The 21,107-nt window shown below is 43.0% G+C and overlaps 1 protein-coding gene and 1 long non-coding RNA gene across 19 annotated transcripts in view, besides 4 other annotated features; one reads left to right on the forward strand and one right to left on the reverse strand.

Annotated features, from left to right (window-relative positions):
• Window positions 1–216: 216 nt before the first annotated feature.
• On the reverse strand, window positions 217–4,745 carry GRK3-AS1 (GRK3 antisense RNA 1). 16 transcript variants are annotated; one of them, NR_183563.1, is made up of 4 exons: window positions 4,409–4,745; window positions 3,419–3,685; window positions 2,632–2,810; window positions 217–827 (listed from the first exon to the last, which is right to left on the reverse strand). It is a non-coding gene; the product is annotated as a GRK3 antisense RNA 1 (long non-coding RNA). The 16 variants fall into 16 exon arrangements; NR_183564.1 differs by having other exon boundaries at window positions 3,419–3,688; NR_183556.1 differs by lacking the exon at window positions 4,409–4,745 and adding an exon at window positions 4,065–4,215.
• Window positions 3,930–4,029: a silencer, noted in NCBI's record as "silent region_13561". NCBI's record gives its function as "represses an Ori minimal core promoter by ATAC-STARR-seq in GM12878 lymphoblastoid cells {active_cell/tissue: GM12878}" and the evidence as "EXISTENCE:reporter gene assay evidence [ECO:0000049][PMID:35858748]".
• Window positions 4,004–21,107, forward strand: part of GRK3 (G protein-coupled receptor kinase 3) — a 164,620-nt gene continuing 147,516 nt past the window's right edge. For all 3 annotated transcript variants that reach the window (NM_005160.4, NM_001362778.2, XM_047441167.1), the window contains exon 1: window positions 4,004–4,482. In NM_005160.4, coding sequence (NP_005151.2) covers window positions 4,370–4,482 — 113 coding nt within the window. In that variant the 5' untranslated portion in view covers window positions 4,004–4,369. The remainder of the gene's footprint in view (window positions 4,483–21,107) is intronic.
• Window positions 4,340–4,589: a silencer, noted in NCBI's record as "silent region_13562". NCBI's record gives its function as "represses an Ori minimal core promoter by ATAC-STARR-seq in GM12878 lymphoblastoid cells {active_cell/tissue: GM12878}" and the evidence as "EXISTENCE:reporter gene assay evidence [ECO:0000049][PMID:35858748]".
• Window positions 4,701–5,216: an enhancer, noted in NCBI's record as "NANOG-H3K27ac hESC enhancer chr22:25961339-25961854 (GRCh37/hg19 assembly coordinates)". NCBI's record gives its function as "activates a minimal SCP1, AML or CMV promoter by ChIP-STARR-seq in naive H9 embryonic stem cells {active_cell/tissue: H9 hESC(naive)}" and the evidence as "EXISTENCE:reporter gene assay evidence [ECO:0000049][PMID:30033119]".
• Window positions 6,499–6,678: an enhancer, noted in NCBI's record as "active region_18787". NCBI's record gives its function as "activates an Ori minimal core promoter by ATAC-STARR-seq in GM12878 lymphoblastoid cells {active_cell/tissue: GM12878}" and the evidence as "EXISTENCE:reporter gene assay evidence [ECO:0000049][PMID:35858748]".

Consider the following 21,107-nt stretch of genomic DNA (forward strand, 5'->3'; position numbering starts at 1 on the left):
CTCAGAAGGACTGGTCTTGGGCTTCTTATCCATTTGTCTTTTGAGCCCATGCTCTGAACCACAACACTGTGGCTTTTCTTTAGAGTGAGTCCCTGACCAGCAGTCCCCATAGAGAAATGTGTTTCCACTCACATATTGAAAGGAGAGTACTTCTCTACTGAACATCGTTTCAGTGCTAATAGCTAATAGTTTAATAAAAGCAAAGCTTGGCATCATACCTTTTGGCAGATCTTTATAAAGTTGTCATACATAGAGCTGCCATTAAAGCTTGTAAAGCTTTGTGGATAAAAGCAGCATGAAAAGCAGTTCATATGATGTGTGTGACAACAAACAGAATTGTGATCCAAATTACAGGTGAAACGGGACAGTGGCCCCTGGGAGGCTAGAAATACCTGCAGAGGCTTACGGAGTGAGATGTTTGTAAATAAAGCCATTCAAACATCAATTGTGTGTGGTTTTCTTGAGAAGCAACTGTATTTAAGGGACTGCTTATACAAAATCAAGTTCTTCTTAGCAAGGATTGCTTTAAATATTCTGACTTGAATGAAGGCCAGTCATGTTCTGCCATTTTCAAAAATCTTCTAACTGGAGTCTTAGAGTTGATTTTCTTTTCATTTGTGATTAATTTTCCAGAATAACATTCCCAGCTCCCACCCCACCCAGCGTTTATAGTCCAGAGATTCTGAGAGTAGGAAGTCTTAGTAAAGCCCAGAATCTAAAACAAATAAGACCAGTCAGTTCTCTAGTTAGCTTTTTTCCTTTCAAGTTGTTAGCAATATAAACTCTGGAAAGCCTAAACTTTAATGCACCCATCTCAGCAACATCTCCTGTAACGATGGAAAGGCATAGAAAAGAAGAAAAGGGAACATTATTAATCTTGTGGGAACGCTGGAGTTTTGTCTATTATCACAAGCAGCGTGAGCCCCAAGTCATTTAAATCCTCTGGGGGTGGGAGACATAATTATTTGCAAGGGAGCATTATTAGCTAAGTACAAATGGGTTGCTATTTGTTTTTTCTGTTCTTTGTGATGATTACAGGCTGGGGATGGTGTTTAGTAACAGGATCCAGCAGGTCAGTTATGACAACTTCATCATCACTGTCATTAACCCCTTTTGTTTGCAGTGAACACAAAAAGCTGTTCAGTATCAAGAGAGTCAAGAAAAAGGGAAAGAAGAGGGGGTGGAGAAAGTGAGACAACCAAAGAGACAGCCAGGGAACAGAAATTCATACACTATGAACACCAGAAAAAAATACCCCTGGGTAATTGAGTCAGCTGACTCAAATGGTGTAGGGGCCTCAGTTAGAGGACCAAATTTTGGACTCCTTGGTCTTTCTGCCAAAAGAGTAATTGCTCATGTTTATAGATGCAAATGTTTTTGCCATTTTGGTTCCTAGAAATGCCCTAGGGAGATGTTATTTTTGGTAAGGGGTCTTCCTGCTTCAAGTGTAATGACTGTGAACAACTAGTTTCAGTATCTTCTCTAGCATGCCAGGGTAAAATGAAGCAAAATAAATAGAGGAAGTGCCATGACCTTTATTGAGGATCTACTGGGTGCCAGGCAAAATGCTTTTTTTTTTTTTTTTTTTTTTTTTGAGACAGGGTCTTGCTCTCTTGCCCAGGCTGGAGTGCAGCAGTGCAATCTTGGCTGACGGCAAGCTCTGCCTCCCGGGTTCCTGCCATTCTCCTGCCTCAGCCTCCCAGGTAGCTGGGACTACAGGCGCCCGCCACCACGCCCAGCTTATTTTGTTTTTGTATTTTTAGTAGAGATACAGTTTCATCGTGTTAGCCAGGATGGTCTCCATCTCCTGACCTTGTGATCCACCCACCTCAGCCTCCCAAAGTACTGGGATTACAGGTGTGAGCCACTGTGCCTGCCCAGTGCTGCGATCTCGACTCACTGCAGCTTTCGCTTCCTGGGTTCAAGCGATTCTTCTGCCTCAGCCTCCTGAGTAGCTGGGATTACAGGCGTGCACCACCATACCTGGCTAATTTTTGTATTTTTAATAGAGACATTATTTTTAATGTATTTTTCCTGTTGGCCAGGCTGGTCTTGAACTCCTGGCCTCAAGCGATACACCTGCCTCAGCCTCCCAAAGTGCTGGGATTACAGGTGTGAGCCCCACGCCCGACAAGGTGCATTTTTATGTGCTTTTTCTCCTCTGTCTTCTCAACAACCCTGGGGTAAAAGGCCTCATTTCCACTTTTCCTATGAGAACAATAAAGTAGAAAGAGGTAAAAGACTGCCTCTAAGATCACCCAGCACAGAGCAGGGATTTGATTTCAGGTGTGTCTTGTTCCAAACTTAATATACTGTGCTGCTGGGGGAAAACAAAGAGCAAAAGGTTCTTAACTGAAGTCAAAGACGACCAAGAAAATGTAGGCAGATGTCAGGTCTGATCATGTGGATGCTCAAATGATAAACAGACACATTGAGAGAAATTGTATTAATTAAATCATAAAAATATGTTCCGCTTTTTGGGGAATTTACTCCTCCTCCTGGGGTGACCCTTGACAAGACATTCTGTCTTCCTGTTTTTAAGCAAAAAAAAAAAAAAAAAGTGGGTAGAAGATGAAAGTTTGATATTTCGCTCATGCATAGCTTTGTCTCCTTAATATATTTTGTGCTTGCCTGTCATTTCAGCTTTCTGCTGGCAGACGAAGCTCCTTCAACTGCCATTCCTACTTCTGACACTCCTCTTGTCCTTTTCAGGACAACTTTATGCCTATTGTGCCTTGGGTCTTGAGAAGCATGTGGTAAAACTGGCCAGTGGTGATGGCAGGCATAGCAGGGAATCAGATTGAGGGGGGCTGTGGCGTGGGAGAGAAAACAAAAGAGGGAAACAGGCTATTTGATGACAGAATCAGGCTGCTTCTGCAATGACATTACATGAAATATCTGAAATTTGACCTTAACTGTATCTGGTGGGTCCCGTTAACCCTGTAAGTTATGGACAGAACGTTCACTCAAATTCTAGCAACGTCTAGGCTCATGGAAATACGTGACCAATTCAGGTGAATGAAAGGGATTTTAAAACATTAATTTCCAGCTTAGGTCTTCCTAAGACTGCCTGCGTGTCCCTTACCACCACTCCAGCCTGAGTGTCACATGGATCCTGAATGCGGACTTGTGTGCACACTGTAGAAAAATAAGCAACTGAAAACCCCAGGCATCGGGGTGGAGTGATGATGAAAGACACCGAGACCGAAGATCAGGAAGCTGGAAATTCCCCCCAGCTTCGGTGTTTGGGCTGTATCTCGCTTTTCCACTTCCCTAAATCACCCTCGTGGTGCGAGTGTGCTCGCAGCAGATGCTCCCTAATTGTCTCTTGTATTGACCGTAAAACCCTAACGACAGGAATACTCTCTCTCCTTCTATTTCTCAACACCATTTCAACACCCAAACTAAAACCTCTCACCTGAGTGTAAGGGAGTGGTGACCTTCTTAAGCGGAGAGCTCTTCCATCAGAGGGCTCCCTAAGGGCATCTCTGTTCCTAGCCGGGGAGCCGTCACCCCACTTTGTTCTGCTTAGCCTAAGACACGCAACTTTTTCCAGCTTTTACTCTTCGCTGAATTCTCACGGTGGGGTTGGGGGGATGTTCAGGCTCAGGAGCGAGGTTGGGGGCCCGGCCCGCTGGGCGCTGTTCACCGGTAGCCCGGACCAGAGCAGGAGTTTCATCATTACCTGCTGGGATAGGTGGGACACATGTATTTCCGGGGCCACCCCAGACCTCCCGGAGGATGCTGATTGACACTGTCCAGTTTGAGAACTACTGTGTCCAGGGAGCAGAGGCCTCCCCATAACCCCTTGGGTTGTGGACGTCTGGCCCAGGGCTTCTCTGGGTGAGCGGGGCGGGCATCAGAGCGCGTGGAACCTGGGGCGGGAGGTCGGGGCAGTGAAGGAGGAGGAGAAGGAGGAGGCGGAGACCGAGGGGGAGGGAGGGGAGGAGGAAGAGGAGGAGGAGTCCCTCGTGGCCACCCCGAGGGGAGGGCGACCGTAGAGACTTGGTCGGGAGGCGCCGGCCCAGCGAGGCCGCTGGGACTGTGCACTGAGGGGCGCTGACCGTTGGACGCGCGCTCCCCGCAGACCCTCGCTGAAGGAGCAGGGGGCGGCGCGCGTGCGCGGGGCGCCGGGCGGCGCGCGAGGGGGCGGAGCGGGGAGGCGTGCTGCGACCCCGGCCGGCTACAGCCTGCGGCGCGCGCAGAGCGCTAGTGGGGCGCGCGGCGCGCGCGCGGGGCGGGGGCGCGCGGAGGGGGGGGCTGCCCCGGGGCGGCCCCCCCAGGTCGGGGCGCGGCGGGCGGCGGCGGCGGGCGCGCGTCCCGTCCAGGTCCGGAGTAACCGCCGCCGCCGCCGCCAAAGCTCGCCAACATGGCGGACCTGGAGGCTGTGCTGGCCGATGTCAGTTACCTGATGGCCATGGAGAAGAGCAAGGCGACCCCGGCCGCCCGCGCCAGCAAGAGGATCGTCCTGCCGGAGCCCAGGTACCAGCTGCCCCGGCCGGCGCCGGCCCCAAGCCGCCGCCCCCTGCGGCCGCCAGCTACCCCCTGCTTCCTGGAGGGTCGGGCGCTGAGCCTCCGCTGCCCCGGGGCGGGTGACACAGCGGAGCGGGCGATGCGGGGCCGGCCTCGTCGTTCCAGTCTCTGAAATGGGGCATCGGAGGGCCGGTGGGGGGCACCCCGGGAGAGAGCGCTCCAAAGTGCCCGGCGCGGCGCCCTGCGCGCAGCGAGCGCCCCAGCCAGGGTCTGGTTATGACTTGGCTGGACCAGCTCCATCCCTGTCGCCCCCTCCCCCCAGCCCTGTCCTGTCCTGCCCTGTCCCATCCCCGTGGTTCTTCCTGTTGCATTGGTGTAGTCCCCGTTGGCTCCTTGCCTGTCACTGCTTTGCGCTCCATCCTGGTCGCTCCTTCTTCCCGGGCTCATTGGTCCCCCTTTCCAACTCCATCCTCTCACCTCCCTCTGGGCCGCTTACCTGGGGACTGCAGGCTTGTTGCTTATTGTCCGAGGTAGTTAAACTGCTGTTTTCAGTACTTGCTCTTCTTGAAGTCTATTAAGTCTAGTCACCTTCTTCGGCTTCTCTTCTATTTTGTCCCCGGGCAGGATTTTGACCCACTCAGTATTCTTTTTGGTGCCAAGTGTGTCACCTGAGCTGCTTTCCTCAACTTGTAGATCTACTGGTGGCACTTTATTAAAAAATTGAAACAGGAGTCACTTAAAAAGACACTTGAATGGGTGATTCCAGACAGGAATTTGTTGTTAAATTATCAAAGGAGGGCCCGATTGAATTGGCGAGGGGCTCGGTGAGGTGCATACCAAGTTGCAATTTTCTCTCAAATGATTTATTATTAAGGTACTAGTAAAATTTTTTCTAGTTCATATCATTAGCACTTCCCCAGAAAAAATAGTTTGTCTGGTTAATAGTGAGTTTTAAATAACGTATCAAGGCTTCAGTGATGGATTTTTTTTTCTCTAGCTCCTTTCCTAATTAACACCATCATGAGTTGTACAGCTAATGTGATTCCTTGATGCTAAATAGCTCTTGGAATTGATGCTCAAAAGAGGCATCTTGTTTATGGTGAATTTGAAACCATGCAATTCTGTAAAATATTGGAATCTAAACCAAAGTTATTGTCCATTTGAAATCATCAGTCCTTCAAGCGTTAGGCGCCCAAGATTGCTTAAATGTTACCTAATGCTAAGTGATCATCATCTGATTTTTTTTACAAGTCATCCATGAGCCCTATGATACAGAAAATACCAGTCCCCTTGTTATTTGTTGTGAAAAGCTAAATTGTGCAAATGAAGACATGCTTGCTAGGTATTTTGAGCTTGCTTTTCCTCCTTAGCCCATGCCTCTTGTTGGTTTTGCAGGATGTGCTACTCTTTGATAGACAATGCCAAGTAGTGAAAATGAGGGAAAAGTGCAAACCTTTCTGCAATGTCGTGAGTTTAACACCCCTATTCCAGAGTGTAGCATATCTGAAGCTAATTGAAAAAAATCAATGCTGCTTAAAATTTCCGGCAAATGGGAAACTTACTTAGAGAACAAGAACGCCTACATCAAACCTAAATTTCACCAAAAAAACTGTACATTTCTAATGTGGTAGAAAAAGGCTTAATTCCTCTTTTGTCTTGCCTTTCCTAGTGTCCCTCCACCACCCAAAGGCAGGGAGTCCTAAATATGTAGTATTTCTATATACAAAATTGATAAATCTCAACTCATGGGCAGTTTTTTTTTTGGGGGGGGCTAGTATATAATATTAATAAAGTTAGGAACTTCTGTTCAGTTTTTTTTTTCTTGGTGTTTGGAACTTAATGTGACTTCTGCTTTTTTAGTGTCCCTCTTAAGAACGTACTTATGCACTTAGGGTGTTCACTTCCTTGTATGAATGCCTTTGTTTTTCAGTGGTATTCTTTGGTAATGCTTTCTTTTAAGGCAGAGTAAGTGACAGCCAGCATTATTTCTCATGACATTTGAAAATTGAGAAATACCAACCAGAGAGTAATTTTAGGAAACAGCCCTTCAGTAATTGTTACTCTGTTGCTCTTTTTAAAATAGACTCTCGAATTGGGCCATTGGAACCTCCTCCTGAGATTCTAATTTGTTTTCTACTTATCTTAGTGGCTTTGGCTTTAGTTTTGTAATGTAGCTATTTACATAGTAACAGTCACTCCTTGTGCTGTGTTAGGATTCTGTTACATTGAGATTATCAGGTATAACATCTTGCAAAATTCTCTCTACCACTGGATGGCAGTTAGTGGCCTACCTATTTGATTTGGAGGTTGGGGGTTGGGGAATTTCTAGATCCTGTAAAAAAGTTAATTGCATGTTAAAATGCCCCAGCCTAATGACTTAAATAGCTGGTATGACTTCACACTATTGGTAAAAGGGATACGGGTCAAATGTTTTCTGATAAGTTTCTATTTCAGCTTCATTATAGAGGAAGCCATGTGATCACCAGTTTTTGGTATTCTTGAAAGAGATGTTCAGATTTGTATTTTTGGTATCTGAATGAGAAGCATACATTTTAATTTGCCTTTGGTCTATCACTAGTGATTTTTTTATTTCCAGCAAATTATTTGCAGTCACTATTCTTTGTGCTTCCTTATTTTAGTTACTTTGCCTTTCCCACAGTTTTAAACAGAAGAGCATCAGAACGAAATATCTAGCTAATTTAAATGAAACACTGGGTTTGCAGCTTCCTGCCTATTACAGGAGAGTCTCAGAAAATGGAACATTCTGCCCAGGGGAGATTTTGCTTCCCTGAGATGGCAAGAGGCAAATATTTTGTTATGTTGACACTTTATTCAGTTAACCAACCAATGAGTGCAAATCCTGGAAAAGCTGACTGTTTGTCCAAATGGTATAGCTGCTTTAGTTTACTGAAATGTTGTTGAGCTAATGTAGCTGATAATGGGGCCTACTGGGAGTAGTAAACTGTGACCCACAGCCTCCCTTGCAGGCCCAGTTAAAACAGGAGCATTTAGATGTGCAGGCCAGTTGTTTTACATCATGTTGGAAAAGAAATACTTTTATTTAAGTAAGGTCTAATTCACAAGCAAAGGCCCACAAAGGGTCATCATCTTAAGCCCTGGAGTGATTCAGACGACTTTTACTGTAGGCTGTATTACTCTGTTACTCTTTTTTTTTTAAAAAAAACAGAATGAAATTCAGATGACTTGAAATCACATATAGTTGAAGGCGGTTGAGTAATGTGAACTTCATCTTTCCCCTGGAGTCTTATTTCTATTTACTGGACATTTCAAATGTTGGATCACCTATTGCAAAGCTTGTCCTTTCAAAGTATTCATACAATATGATAGGAAGGTCTGAAACAACATTTTAAAGATTCTTTATAATTTTCTAGGAGCACTGACAGTCCTTAAAGGACATTTATGATACCGTTTATGACATTAATTCAGTACATAGTTGTAGAGCCATTTCTATGAGCCAGGCACGGGGTACTATGACAAACCCAGCCACAGCCCCTTCCTTCATGGAGCTTATAGACTAGTGTGAAATACAAAGATTTGAGCCAAGAAGGATGTTTGCTTTGAAGTGTATTTGCTTGAAGATTTTATTTAACCACAAACAAATAGCGTTTGGATGACTTTTATTACTCTATATGCATAGAATATAGAATAATAAAGAATGAATATAGAATATAGCATAATGCATAGAACACATGATGTTTGGTGTTTTACAATAATTTGTTAGTGATTACCTTTGAAGAACTATCTAAACATAGTCTCCATGGTGATATGGTAGTTTGCATCTTTCTGTTTGTGTAGCCACCACATGTAATTGATCTTTAAAAATGTCCCAGTTTTCTTCTTTAGTGGACATGGAGTTTATTCGGTAATTGTTTAACTCCAATCAGTAAGTGATTGGTGGATAACTTGAAATACTCCTCTCCGTTTAGGCTGTAGAGTTTTCTGTGTCTTCACTGTCCTGTGCTCATAGCCTAATTTTGAACTGAAAAGTCCACGTTGAAAGCACAAATAGCCTTTAGAAAGAAAGTATTCCTTATTATTGATAGGAGTGTTTCTATGTGTAAGAAACAGTAGTGTTCTTGCTTCTTTTTCATTAAGGTACAAATTCAAAATGTAATTTGTTCTGACCTTTCAGTTATTATCTCATTCTTGGTCCAAGTTAACTTGTGCCAGTGACTTGAAGATGCAAGGAGTGCGTGTAGATGTCAATTCTTAGAAATGGATGTTCCGGTGAAATCAGTTTTGGACCTAGAATCTGCCAAAGCTGAGCATCATGAAATGCTTCGAATCGAGAGCCTCATAGATCTCTCTGAGGTACAGGCAGTCCCAGCTTTTACACGCAATGGATTCTTAGAGACAGCCTCTTACAGTGTTTTCCCCAGTACACCGGACTTTGCCAAACATCTGTTTGGACAAGGGTGGAAACTATCCGACGAAGGTGTCAAGGCTTGAGGAAGGGAAGCACAGGTCTTTTTCAGTCAGTGGCTGGCCAGCAAAGCAGTGAAATGCAAAGTAGTATTAAATAGCTAGCAGGACGCCTGGCCTCCCTAGGGTCCCTGGAGCCCTGGCAAGGGAAAGAGAAGTTTAACGTCCATGATGTAATAATGTAATAACTGCCTTTAATTGAGAGCTCATCCTCTGTCAGGCAGTTGGCATAATTAGTTCATTTGTCCCCACAGTAGTTCTACCAGGTGAGTTGCATTAGCTCCGTTTAACAGAAGGAGCAGACACTCAGGGAAGGTAAGGAGCTCAGCCCAGGTGACACCTGACAGTGGGAGAGGCAGGAGGGACGCCCAGGTTTCGCCCAGCTCGGGGTCTTTCCCCGCCCAGGCAGGGTCTTGCTGGGCTGCCCCACCAAAAACGAATACCAAACTCCCTCGCGTCTTATTTTGCAAGGAATGGATGAAACTGCGATACTTTTTTATTTGGGGGAAAAAATCCTTTTTCGTACTCTCCCGATCAGCTACGAGTCCTCAGAGACTGATAGAGAATTCCTCTGGGACCTGCGAAAACGGTAATTATGAGTAAGTGAATAAGCAGCTTGTTCCTTATTTCCCATGAGCTTGAAGGTGAAATGCCTATTCTGTTTAACACAAGTCATGCAATCTTGCTGGTGTTAATGAGAAATTGTGTAATACACCATCTCACCCCCCAAGGCCTCAAAACAGGATTTCTACTGTCTTTTTATTTAGAAAAGGGGCCACCTAAGCTGCCCTGTCTCCTTTTTATTTAAAAAAGGGGCAGCCTGAGCTGTCCCCTCCCTTGAAATTTTCATTTCTGGGAAAAGAGTAAAAGGGAAAAACAATATTTTTGGCTTTATTTGCAATAAAAATCACTTTCTCATTCACATAATCTTCCTTTGTTAGTACAGTCACATATCTGCGGACCACTGTAGGTGAAAATGTAGGCTGTCTGCATGGCTATCATTGTCTCTTCTTATTCTCTGGACATTGGCAATGGGGAAATGGAAATGATTAATTTGGCAACTTTTACTCTATTATTGCAAAATCATTTGTATGGTAAGTAATTTGCATGCAAATGGGACTGGATATCCCGGCCCCCCTCTGCTTCTCCTGTGTCTTACTTTTTTAATCTTCCCTTCCTATTTTTATCATTGATTAGAAGTTACAACCCCTGGGCCCTTTTTGATTGCTCTATGAGCCTAAAATGCAGAATAAGTAATAATGTGGCTCTTCATATCCTGTAAATGTTTCTTCTAATTTTGGAAGCCTTCTTTTGGGTCCTCTGCTTCCACTGGAGCATACACATATTTGAATACTTTCTATGTAGGACACTATATAGAGAGCCCATGGCGAATGCAGTGAAAATATTTTTGCGACATATTTTGTAAAATATTTTGTGATAGGTAGTTGGTAAAGGTCAGCTTGATCCAGCCTTGGACCTATACTGTTGTTTGCCACCATTTCCTTCTCCTGCAGTTTCAGGAGCAGAAAAAGATGCTAATGTGAAAATAGCCAGCCCAGACCTCCATCCTTAGTGCACCAGAAAGCCACTGTCATTGCTGGGCCCCTCGTTTTCCTGTGCCATCCCTACTACCTACCAAACTGTCATAGAAGAGAAGGTTCTAAATCAGAAGCCAGACATTAAGGATCTGATTCCACTGGCAGCTTGCTATGGGACCTCTGGAAGTCACTTAAATTTGCTGTATTTAGTTTCTCCATCAGTAAAATACATTATCTATTTCTTTCTGATTGTATAATGTCCCAATAAAAATCTGCCTTGTGAGCATTTTCTGTCTATGCAATACATTTGTAAATAATAGGAAACATTAAAAATTACCCATATTGAATTTCAGACACGGATAACTCAAACAAAAAGATGAGAAGGAATATTAAAAGAAATGATTAAAAACACTTATACTATAGGGTTATTGTTGTTGAGATTATGTGTAGTATAAGATACAAGTACACCTTTAAAAAAGTACAACATAATAGCGAATATTAAGGCAGTCTTGCAAGTGCTGTGGTGCCATGTGCTCTGAGGGAGGAGGGAGTGGGTTTGGGAGGCAGGACTTCTGAAAAGCTGGATGATTGGCTGGAACAGAGAAGAGCAATTGTTGAGCCTTAGACTCATAAGTAGGTTGATTGCCCAGATTTCTCAGTTTTCCTCCTCTAGCTGCTTATTGTGGTACTGTGTGTCTAGAACCTTCTACACATGATACCTTACTCACACTTTTTTTTTTAAAATTATACTTTAAGTTCTAGGGTACATGTGCACAACATGCAGGTTTGTTGTATGTATGTATACATGTGCCATGTTGGTGTGCTGCACCCATTAACTTGTCATTTACATTAGATATTTCTCCCAATGCTATCCCTACCCCTTCCCCCCGCCCCATGATAGACCCTGGTGTATGATGTTCCCCACCCTGTGTCCAAGTGTTCTCATTGTTCAATTCCCACCTATGAGTGAGAACATGTGGTGTTTGGTTTTCTGTTCCTGTGTTAGTTTGCTCAGAATGATGGTTTCCAGCTTCATCTATGTCCCTACAAAGGACATAAACTCATCCTTTTTTATGGCTGCATAGTATTCCATGGTGTATATGTGCCAGATTTTCTTAATCCATTCTATCATTGGTGGACATTTGGGTTGGTTCCAAGTCTTTGCTATTGTAAATAGTGCCGCAATAAACATACGTGTGCATGTGTCTTTATAGCAGCATGATTTATAATGCTTTGGATATATATCCAGTAATGGGATGGCTGGGTCAAATGGTATTTCTAGTTCTAGATCTTTGAGGAATCGCCACAGTCTTCCACAATGGTTGAACTAGTTTACAGTCCCACCAACAGTGTAAAAGTGTTCTTATTTCTCCACATCCTCTCCAACACCTGTTGTTTCCTTTTTAATGATCGCCCTTCTAACTGGCGTGAGATGGTATCTCATCGCACTCACACTTTCTTGCTTGCTTGCTTTCCTCCCTTTCTTCTTTCCTTTCTGTCTTTCATCTATCCATCTATCCATCCCGTAGGCTCTGGGATGGTGGTATCAGTGCCTAAGAGTTGCAAGCCTGCTACTTAAATAGGTGTAACCAGGCAATTAGCAGAGTTGACTCATTCTTTAGAGGTTTTTGTTTCAGAAAAATGAACCAAAAATCATGATCTGAAAGCAGCTGGCTTCATTGTATTGTGCATAAGGTGATTCATTACAGTCTTTCTTAGACATTAACAGATTGTATATGAATAACATAGGATTGTAGTATCTCATGTTTGAAAAGATGTTGGGGGACATCCAATCTAGTTATGCTTTTTGATGAGTGACTTCCCTCTCTAATATCTAGCCACAGGCATCTTTGATGAGCATCTTTGGAAACTGTTGTACCAGAAAGCTCTCTTGTATTACCTTCTGTGCACTGGTCTCTTATTATCCTTTTGTGGTTGTGAGAAACAAGTTTAGTTCCTCAAATGTGACAGATCATCAAATATTTGAAGGCAGCTCCTCTAGCTCAAGATGCCTTTTATAGGAAGCTGTCCCCAGCTCCTTTACTTATTCCTCATAATGCACACTGCTGTGTGTAATCTATGCTCATTAGTCTGAACATTACTGAGCTGAGTAAGAATATCAAAATTTATGAAGACCAAAAAGAGATCTGTAAAATTATCATAATTAATTTAGTAATGGCAAAGCTAGTAATAAATTCTATTTCAAGTGTGTGATTGAGTCCCTCTGAAGTTCCATTTTAGGATTTGGTTCCTTGAATGATTCAAAATTCATTATACCAGTTTGCTTAGGGGATGAATATTTTCATTAGTCAGAGTTTGGAAGCCAGGTATGGGTTACATGTGTATTATGACAACAGCTGCCATTGCTGACTGCTAAGTAGGTACTAGGCACTGTATAATTCTTAGACAATTATGGACTAAAATATTTCAGGAAGAAAGTGAGCTTTAAATATGCAGAAAAAGGTCATAGGATATTAGGGGGTATGTTTCATATAGTCAAAAACATAAAATGACTGTAATCCCAGCACTTTGGGAGGCTGAGGCAGGTGAATCACCTGAGGTCAGGAGTTCAAGATCAGCCTGACAAACATGGTGAAACCCCGTCTCTACTAAAAATACAAAAATTAGCTGGGCATGGTGGCAGGCACCCACAATCCCGGCTACTCAGGAGGCTGAGGCAGGAGAATTGTTTGAATCCAGGAGGCAGAGGTTGCAGTGAGCTGAGATCGTGCTATTGCACTCCAGTCCGTGTGGCAAGAGCGAAACTCTGTCTCAAACAAAGAAACAAAAAAACCAACCAACCAACCAACCAACCAACCAAACAACAACACCAACAACACCACCACCAACAACAAAAACCCATAAAATCCCATTGGCTGGGGAAGACAGCAAGTTTCTTCAATGTCAGCAATAAAACTTTCTTGAATAATATGCTGTTAGTATTTGTGCATTGTGTCATTAAGTCGGTCCATTGATCTTTATTATCTTGTTTGGATACTAATATGTCTGGTTATATTTTCAGGTGTATTTCTTGTAATTTTTTTTGTATCTTTATTGCCTTTGATAAAAGTTTAAATTAAAAATGAGGCCAGGTGTGGTGGCTCACGCCTGCACTTTGGGAGGACAAAGCAGGAGGATTGCTTGAGCTCAGGAGTTCAAGACCAGCCTGGGCAACATGGTGAAACCCTGTCTCTACCAAAAATACAGAAAATTAGCCAGACATAGTGGTGCGCACCTATGGTCCCAACTCCAGCTACTCAGGAAGCTGAGGTGGGAGGGTTTCTTGAGCCCAGGAGGCAGATGTTGCAGTGAGCTGAAATCATGTCACTGCACTGCAGCCTGACAGAGTGAGGTCTCGTCTCAAAATACAAAGAAACAAATAAAACCAAAAACTAAAAGTTGCATGGAATGGCATTTACACAGCTGTTAAATATTGCAGACTTTCATTTTCCTTTGTGAATGTCTAAGGCCGTGATGGTATTTTGGAAACATCTTTTTTAAAAAATATGAGGTATTTGGTGGTGGTGGCGGGGTCTATTCTCTATTTAAAATGGAACGAATCCTAATGGCTAAGTAAGATCAAGGGACTTTAATACACATCTTTAACCTGGTCCTACCTTTTTCAAGTGAATTTTCTTTGTCTTTTTTTATATTATGACACAGTAACTGGGAAGAGAATCATGCAATAAATATCGTCATCACCAGTAAGTCTAGAATAGCGTGCAAAATTTCTGTGCTATCTTTTTTTGTTCCATTTTGGACCTGCTTCTTTCTGTTTTGTTTCTAGTGGCAGTGGAGAAAAGCTTGTTTTTTATGCAAAACATCCCAATAATATAGAAGAGAAAAATTGCACAATAGCAGTTTCTAAGCAATGAATGAGAGGACACGTATGTTGGTGACTTTGTTGTTTCTCTTCATCCCTCCAATAAATAAAACCGAGAGTTTTGTGGACAGGGATTTATTAGAGTTTCATCATTTAGTTGACTGGCTTATTAAATTCCACATGGAAAACTAGCTTGACTCTCCACATTTCTGTCCTTTAAGTAAGGTGACCTGCTTGATGCTGGATTGATGTTTCAAAATATTTTAAAAATTCAGGCTACTCTATAAGAAAAGCTTATTTGGAAACTCCTTCTTTTGAGATGAGAGTTCTAAGTGAAGCGTTATGGCCTATGGTTATGACTAGCTGGGGTAGCATAGATGATGGTGGAGCAGATAGAAACAGCAGGGCAAGTTTGAAGTGCTCAGTGGTGCTAGCCTTTCACAACCCTCTTTCCCTTACTTTCAGGAAACTTATGCTCTAGAACTAGGGTTTGAATTGGGTCAGTATTGAAATGATCTTAGTGAGAGGCCAACTTGCTGGACTTCTCTTCTAGATCTGTAGTTATAAAGGTTAGCTCATTAAACCCAGTGACAGTAGATGGTCATTTATTTCGTGTTTATTACAGTGGATGGTCATTTATTTAGAGTTTAAGAAAACCCCATGGTAGATAGTCATTTATTTAGAGTTTAAAAAAACCCCACTAAGATTTGTAGATGATGTTTTATAGTTTTATATATATTAACTCTTTTTAGTTTTTACAATTATGCTTGGTAGCAGGTAGAAATTTTAAAAAGAAAAAAATTACTCCAGATACATCCATGTGGAGACATTGAGAGGTATATTTTATCTGTTTGAGGACAGCTGGTTTTCTCCTTAGATACTAGTGTCTTGACTGTGGGGCAGGGAGTGGCTTTCAGCCTTCCAGACTCAGAAACTAGATTTTATTATGTCACTGTACTAAGCATCTGTCTCTTATTGTGAAACTCACATAATCAGCCAAGTCTGCCTGACTAAATTATTCTCTTCCTATAGGCCTCTGGTTCTTATTTTAAGATTAAAGACCCTTTTGAGAATCCTACTAAGTGAGAGCCTCCCCCTCCCAAAAGTGCGCTAACTCACTTACACAGATTTATCTGAAAAGCTACACTATAACTAGAATGTCCAGTTTGCTACATTGCATTAAACACTGGCTCCCACAGGAGCCTACGTGCCCAGCGTCTGTGTGGCTGGAGCTCTCTCTCGTGGGTCCCCCTTGTGGGAAGCAAAACGACCATCAGAAGGTGGTATAGCGAGCACAGACCCACAGTCGGATGAGTCAGATGGTTACTTGGGACCAAGTCACCCCTCCTAGGAGTGGCTTACGCTGGATGTCCAGTACCTGAAATCCCTGACTACAGTGGCTTTGGGACAAGTCATCTTTCCATATTTTCATGTTTCCCATTGTAATTGGTGGGCACACGTCCACTGGATTTGAGACTATAGTTCATGAAACCACTGCCAAAGCTGCCTAGACCAGAAACCTTTGCCATTTCTTGGCCATTTGTGTTATGTATTGATTTAAAGTTTTTATTCTCAGAGAGCAAGCTTTTTTCTTTATTTAGAGATTCTTGGAAATGGCTCTGTAATACTCATCATCTTATTTTAGAAGAAGGAAATTCAGGTTCAGGGAGAAGCTAATTGCTCAAGGTCGCGCTGATAACAAATGGTGCAGCTGAGCTTCAAATCCAGGTTTTCTGATTCCAAATTCAGCGTATTTTCAGAAAAACCTTCAGACTGTCTTTTTCCTGGTGAATCTTATTTTATGAGGAGGGGGCTCATGGATTTGACTAGAGGAGCACTGTCAATTTCAGACGTTAGTGACACAATTTGAAAATGCATTGTATTCATTCAGTAAAGATTATCCACTGCAGGGGTCTGAGGAAGTGCTCCAGTAGCATAATTTCACTGGCCATGTTAACTTAATAATAAATACATTAATAATTTCCTAGAAGAAAAGATGTCATAGATTCCATGTTAACTAATAAGATTGTTATTAATAATGATGGCAGTGTTATAACTTGAGAAACCAACTAAGCTACATGTCATGAGTTCTTAATGTTTTCTTACCCCAAACATCTTTTTGTGATTTTAGGTGCATTCTTAATTAAAATTCATCTCCATGCCTGCCAGTTGGTAAATGAGTATCCTTGACTTGAACACGTTTGTCAGTTACTCTAGATACAATAAAGGATTTTTTTTTTTTTTGAGACAGTCTCGCTCTCTTGCCCAGGCTGGAGTGCAGCGGTGTGATCTCGGCTCACTGTAACCTCCGCCTCCCAGGTTCAACTGATTCTCCTGCCTCAGCCTCCTGAGTAGCTGGGACTACAGATGTGCACCACCATGCCTGGCTAATATTTTTCTACTTTTTGTAGAGACAGGGTTTTGCCACATTGCCCAGGCTGGTCTCGAACTCCTGGCCTCAAGTGATTCAACTGCCTCAGCCTCCCAAAGTGTTGGGATTACAGGCATGAGCCACCGTGCCTGGCCCGTAAAGGATTTTTAATGTTAAACTTGGCACTCATTAGCAGTTCATTCTAAATTGTGATGGAAAATTAATGGAGCGGGTTGCATATCTAACCCCTACCCAGAAAGGTTGTTGAGCTCAGCTTGGGACAGAGTTGTATTTGTCAGGAGCACATTAGTAAATCCACTTATGGCTTTTGCCTTCTTCACCTAGTAATGCACGTGGAGCTTTTCCTCGTCAGCAGTATATAGATCTGTTCAGTGTTTGGAATTGCTGCATGAGATGTCAGAACTCTGATCTACTTGACCCTGTGCTCATAAGCCCAAGAGCAATTGCAGTGAATGTTCTTACATAGGTGCCTTTGGGTCTATGTGTGAGCCTTTCTCTAAGATAGACACCTAGAAATAAGTAAGATATGGGCATAGTCTACTCTACGTAGAGCTGCAAAGAAATTCTAATTTTATTCAGAAGCTTTACTGTTAAGAGTAATATTATTTTTAGTTTGAAATTATTTCATATAAACAATTATTTCATATATATATTTGGGTAAAACAAAAAAGAATAATGTCATTTTTGGTTAGAACCAAGAATTTAAGTGTAAATGAAGAGATACATGAGTACAAGATAAGAGTTAAATAAAAATTCTGTAAGATCAAATTTGAATTGGAAGGTTATTTGAAATTCATGATTTTTTTTTCAAATATGTGTGCTTATCATCCCCAGTCTTTAAAAAAATCGAAGAAACAATTGCATTTCCATCACATAGGCACCTCATACACCTGCGCCTGACTCCAGGTGTGGGTGAGATGAGCCTGGACCCTCTGTTACCTGTTGTATCAGAAAAAAAAGGAGCCATCCAAGAAATGTGGTGGGCACCTTCGCTAACAAACTCTGAGGCCAGAAGAAGGGGTTTCCACTGGCTAAAAGTGAGACACCCTGAACATCAAAAGAATATGACTGATACAAACCCCCTGTGGTGGGCAGAATGATGCCCCCCTGAAATATCCACATCTTAATCCCCAGAACCTATGAACATGTTATGTTATATGACAAGGGGGCGTTAGGGGTGTAGGTGGCATCATAGCAGCTAAGGTGCTGAGTTTAAGATAAAGAGATTATCCTGGATTATCTAGGTGGGCCCTAGTGTTACCGCCAGGGAGGCGGAGAGTTGGTGTCAGAGCGATGCAACATGAGAATGAGTCAACCAACCACTGCTGGCCTTTTGAGGAAGGAGGAAGGGGCCATGGACCGAGGAATGTGGGCAGCCTGTAGAATCTGGAAAAGGCAAGGAAATGGCCTGTCCCTTACAGCCTCCATGTGAGACCGCAGTCCTACTGACACTCTGACCGACCTCAGCCCAGGGAGGCCCATTTCAGACCTCTGACCTGCAGATCTGTAAGAGAGTCAATTTCTGCTTGATTTAAGCCACCAAGTTTGTGGTAATTTATTATGGCTGCAATAACAAACTAATAACAAAGCATGAGTTTGTGGATATCTCATGCTATCCACAAGAGATCCCCAAACAAGACAGAAGAGAACACCTCATTGATCACCACCAGCAGTAGAACCAAGGCACCTACTCTGTCTCTGAATAGTGGCAATTGAAAAGGTAAAGAATTAAGCATTTATCCTGCCTTTCCTGTAAAAACTGCTTCTTAGGGTATTTAGAACCCTAGTTGATGGTTGGGGTGGCAGGACAGGAATTCTTTTTTTTTTTTTCTTTGTGACACGCTCTCGCTCTGTCACCCAGGCTGGAGTACAGTAGTGGTGTGATCACAGCTCACTTCAGGCTCAACCTCCTGGGCTCAACTGATCCTCCCACATAGCTGGGACTAAGGGCACATGCTACCATGCCTGGCTAATTTTTTTTTTTTTGGTAGATATGGGGTTTCGCCATGTTGCCAAGGCTGGTCGAGAATTCTTGGGCTCAATGATCTGTTCACCTCAGCCTCTCAAAAAGTTGGGATTGCAGGCTTGAGCCTCTGTGCCCGACCAATGAATGAGGGGACTTCTTTTTTTATTTTTATTATTTTTTTTTTGAGATGGTGTCTCACTCTGTCCCCCAGGCTGGAGTGTAGTGGCATGATCTCAGCTCACTTCAAGCTCCATCTCCCGGGTTCACGGCATTCTCCTGCCTCAGCCTCCTGAGTAGCTGGGACTACAGGCACCCACCACCACACCCGGCTAATTTTTTGTATTTTTAGTAGAGACGTGGTTTCACCGCGTTAGCCAGGATGGTCTCGATCTCCTGACCTCGTGATCTGCCCGCCTCAGCCTCCCAAAGTGCTGGGATTATAGGAGTGGGCCACCGAGCCTGGCCGAGGGGACTTCTTTACAGAAGAATGGCAGCAAATTAATGTGGAAGGAATGGCGAAATTTTAAAAAAATCCCCATTTTGCAATTCTTAATGAAAATATTGATTTAGGCAAAGATCATCAATGTATGATATCGCTAAATGAAAGATTGATGGGGAATTTCAGATGGAGAGATCAGACTATCACCAACTGAATTTTCTAAGTAAAATTTGCATCACTAGGATGAAATAACTGTGTACCCCCTAATGTGAGGCAATATAAGTACCAAAACCATCTCAAAAGTATTCCTGCCCCCAAATGGTGGACTTGAATATGATCAAGCCTTTTGAGGTAACTTTCAGTTTATAGGAAATATGGAGAGAGAGGAACAGTGAAAGACCTTATAGGGAAGCAACAGACAGAAAGGGCATCCCCCATGATGGCTTCCTCGGCTTCCTCAGGGGGTCACTGCAGATAAAGGTCAGGGGTGGGGACAGTCAGGTACTCTCCCTGTCTGCCTTAAATCCCAGAAGAGATTTAAGAGATGGCGCTATCAGATGAATGTGTGGATCTTGGTTAGATCCAGATTGAAACCCACCAGCTATACAAAAGACACTTGAGTCATGGAAATGTGGTTAGAGACTGGGCATTGGATCTTCAGGAATTATCAATTTGAAGGGGGAGTTGGGAAGTGATAATAGACTGTGTTTATATGAGAAAATTATCCATAATTTTTAGAAATGCAAACTGAAATAGGCTAAAACGACATGTGGTCTGAGATTTGTTATTGATTGATTGATTGATTGGGATGGAGTTTTGCTCTTGTTGCCCAGGCTGGAGTGCAACGGCACAATCTCGGCTCACTGCAACCTCCGCCTCCTGAGTTCAAGCAATTCTCCTGCCTCAGCCTCCCAACTAGCTGGGATTACAGGCGACTGCCACCATGCCCACAGCTAATTTTTTGTATTTAGTAGAGGCGGGGTTTCACCATGTTGGCCTGGATGGTCTTGAACTCCTGACCTCAGGTGATCCTCAGATGAGCCACTGTGCCTGGCTGAGATTTGTTTTAAAATGCTTTAAAAAATAAAGGTGGGATAAGTCGAGTGGAGTGGCTCATGCCTGTAATTCCAGCACTTTGGGTGGCCGAGGCAGGCGGATCAGTTGAACCAGGAGTTCGAGACCAGCTTGGGCAACACACCAAAACCTCATCTCTACAAAAATTAGTTGGGCATGGTGGCACACACCTGTAGTCCTAGCTACTTGGGAGGCTGGGGTGGGAGGATCACTTGAACCCAGGAGAGTGAGGCTGAAGTGAGCTGAGATTGCACTCCTGCACTCTAATTTGAGCAACAGAGTGAGACTCTGTCTCAAAAAAAGAGAAAAGTAAAAGAAAAAAAATGGAGGGTGGGGTAGGGAAAAGTAGCAGATTACAATCTTGGTAACTTCCAATGAGGTGCTGAGTGATGGGTCTAGGTGTTCACTATATTATATCCTTTTGCATGTTTGAAAACTTTTGCAATAATTTTTCAAAACAGTAGAGAAGATGGCTAGGTGTGAATATCACAACTGTGTCCCTGCAGGGCTAATGGAAGCCTCAGTTTTCCCAATGTCATGTGTAATAGCACTGGTGACTTAAGATGTACTATATAATTTCTATGACAGCATCATACACAGATGCAAGATGCAAGTGTACTGCATCTCAAACAACTTAGATTGACGGGAGGATGATGTGTTTTTTGGAAACTGCATTAGATGACTCAAAAAGAGGCTCTGTGACACTGATTACAAAGATGCGGGTAGAGTTTTAAGAGGCTCGTTTGCAACCTAAGAGTCCCGACTAATCCAACCAGAGTGGACAGATTTACAACTTCTTGACCTGAAGGCTTGCTATAGAAGGATGAGAAAAAAAAAATGTAAGAAGGCTATTGAAAGGAGAAAGCACAGTAAGAGATCATACTTTAGAAAACGATGATCTGTTTACTTCCTGAGTGCAAAAGACTTCACTGACTTATTCAGATCATGGGTATCTATTA

Source organism: Homo sapiens, chromosome 22, assembly GCF_000001405.40.
Source record: "Homo sapiens chromosome 22, GRCh38.p14 Primary Assembly".
NCBI lineage: Eukaryota > Metazoa > Chordata > Mammalia > Primates > Hominidae > Homo > Homo sapiens.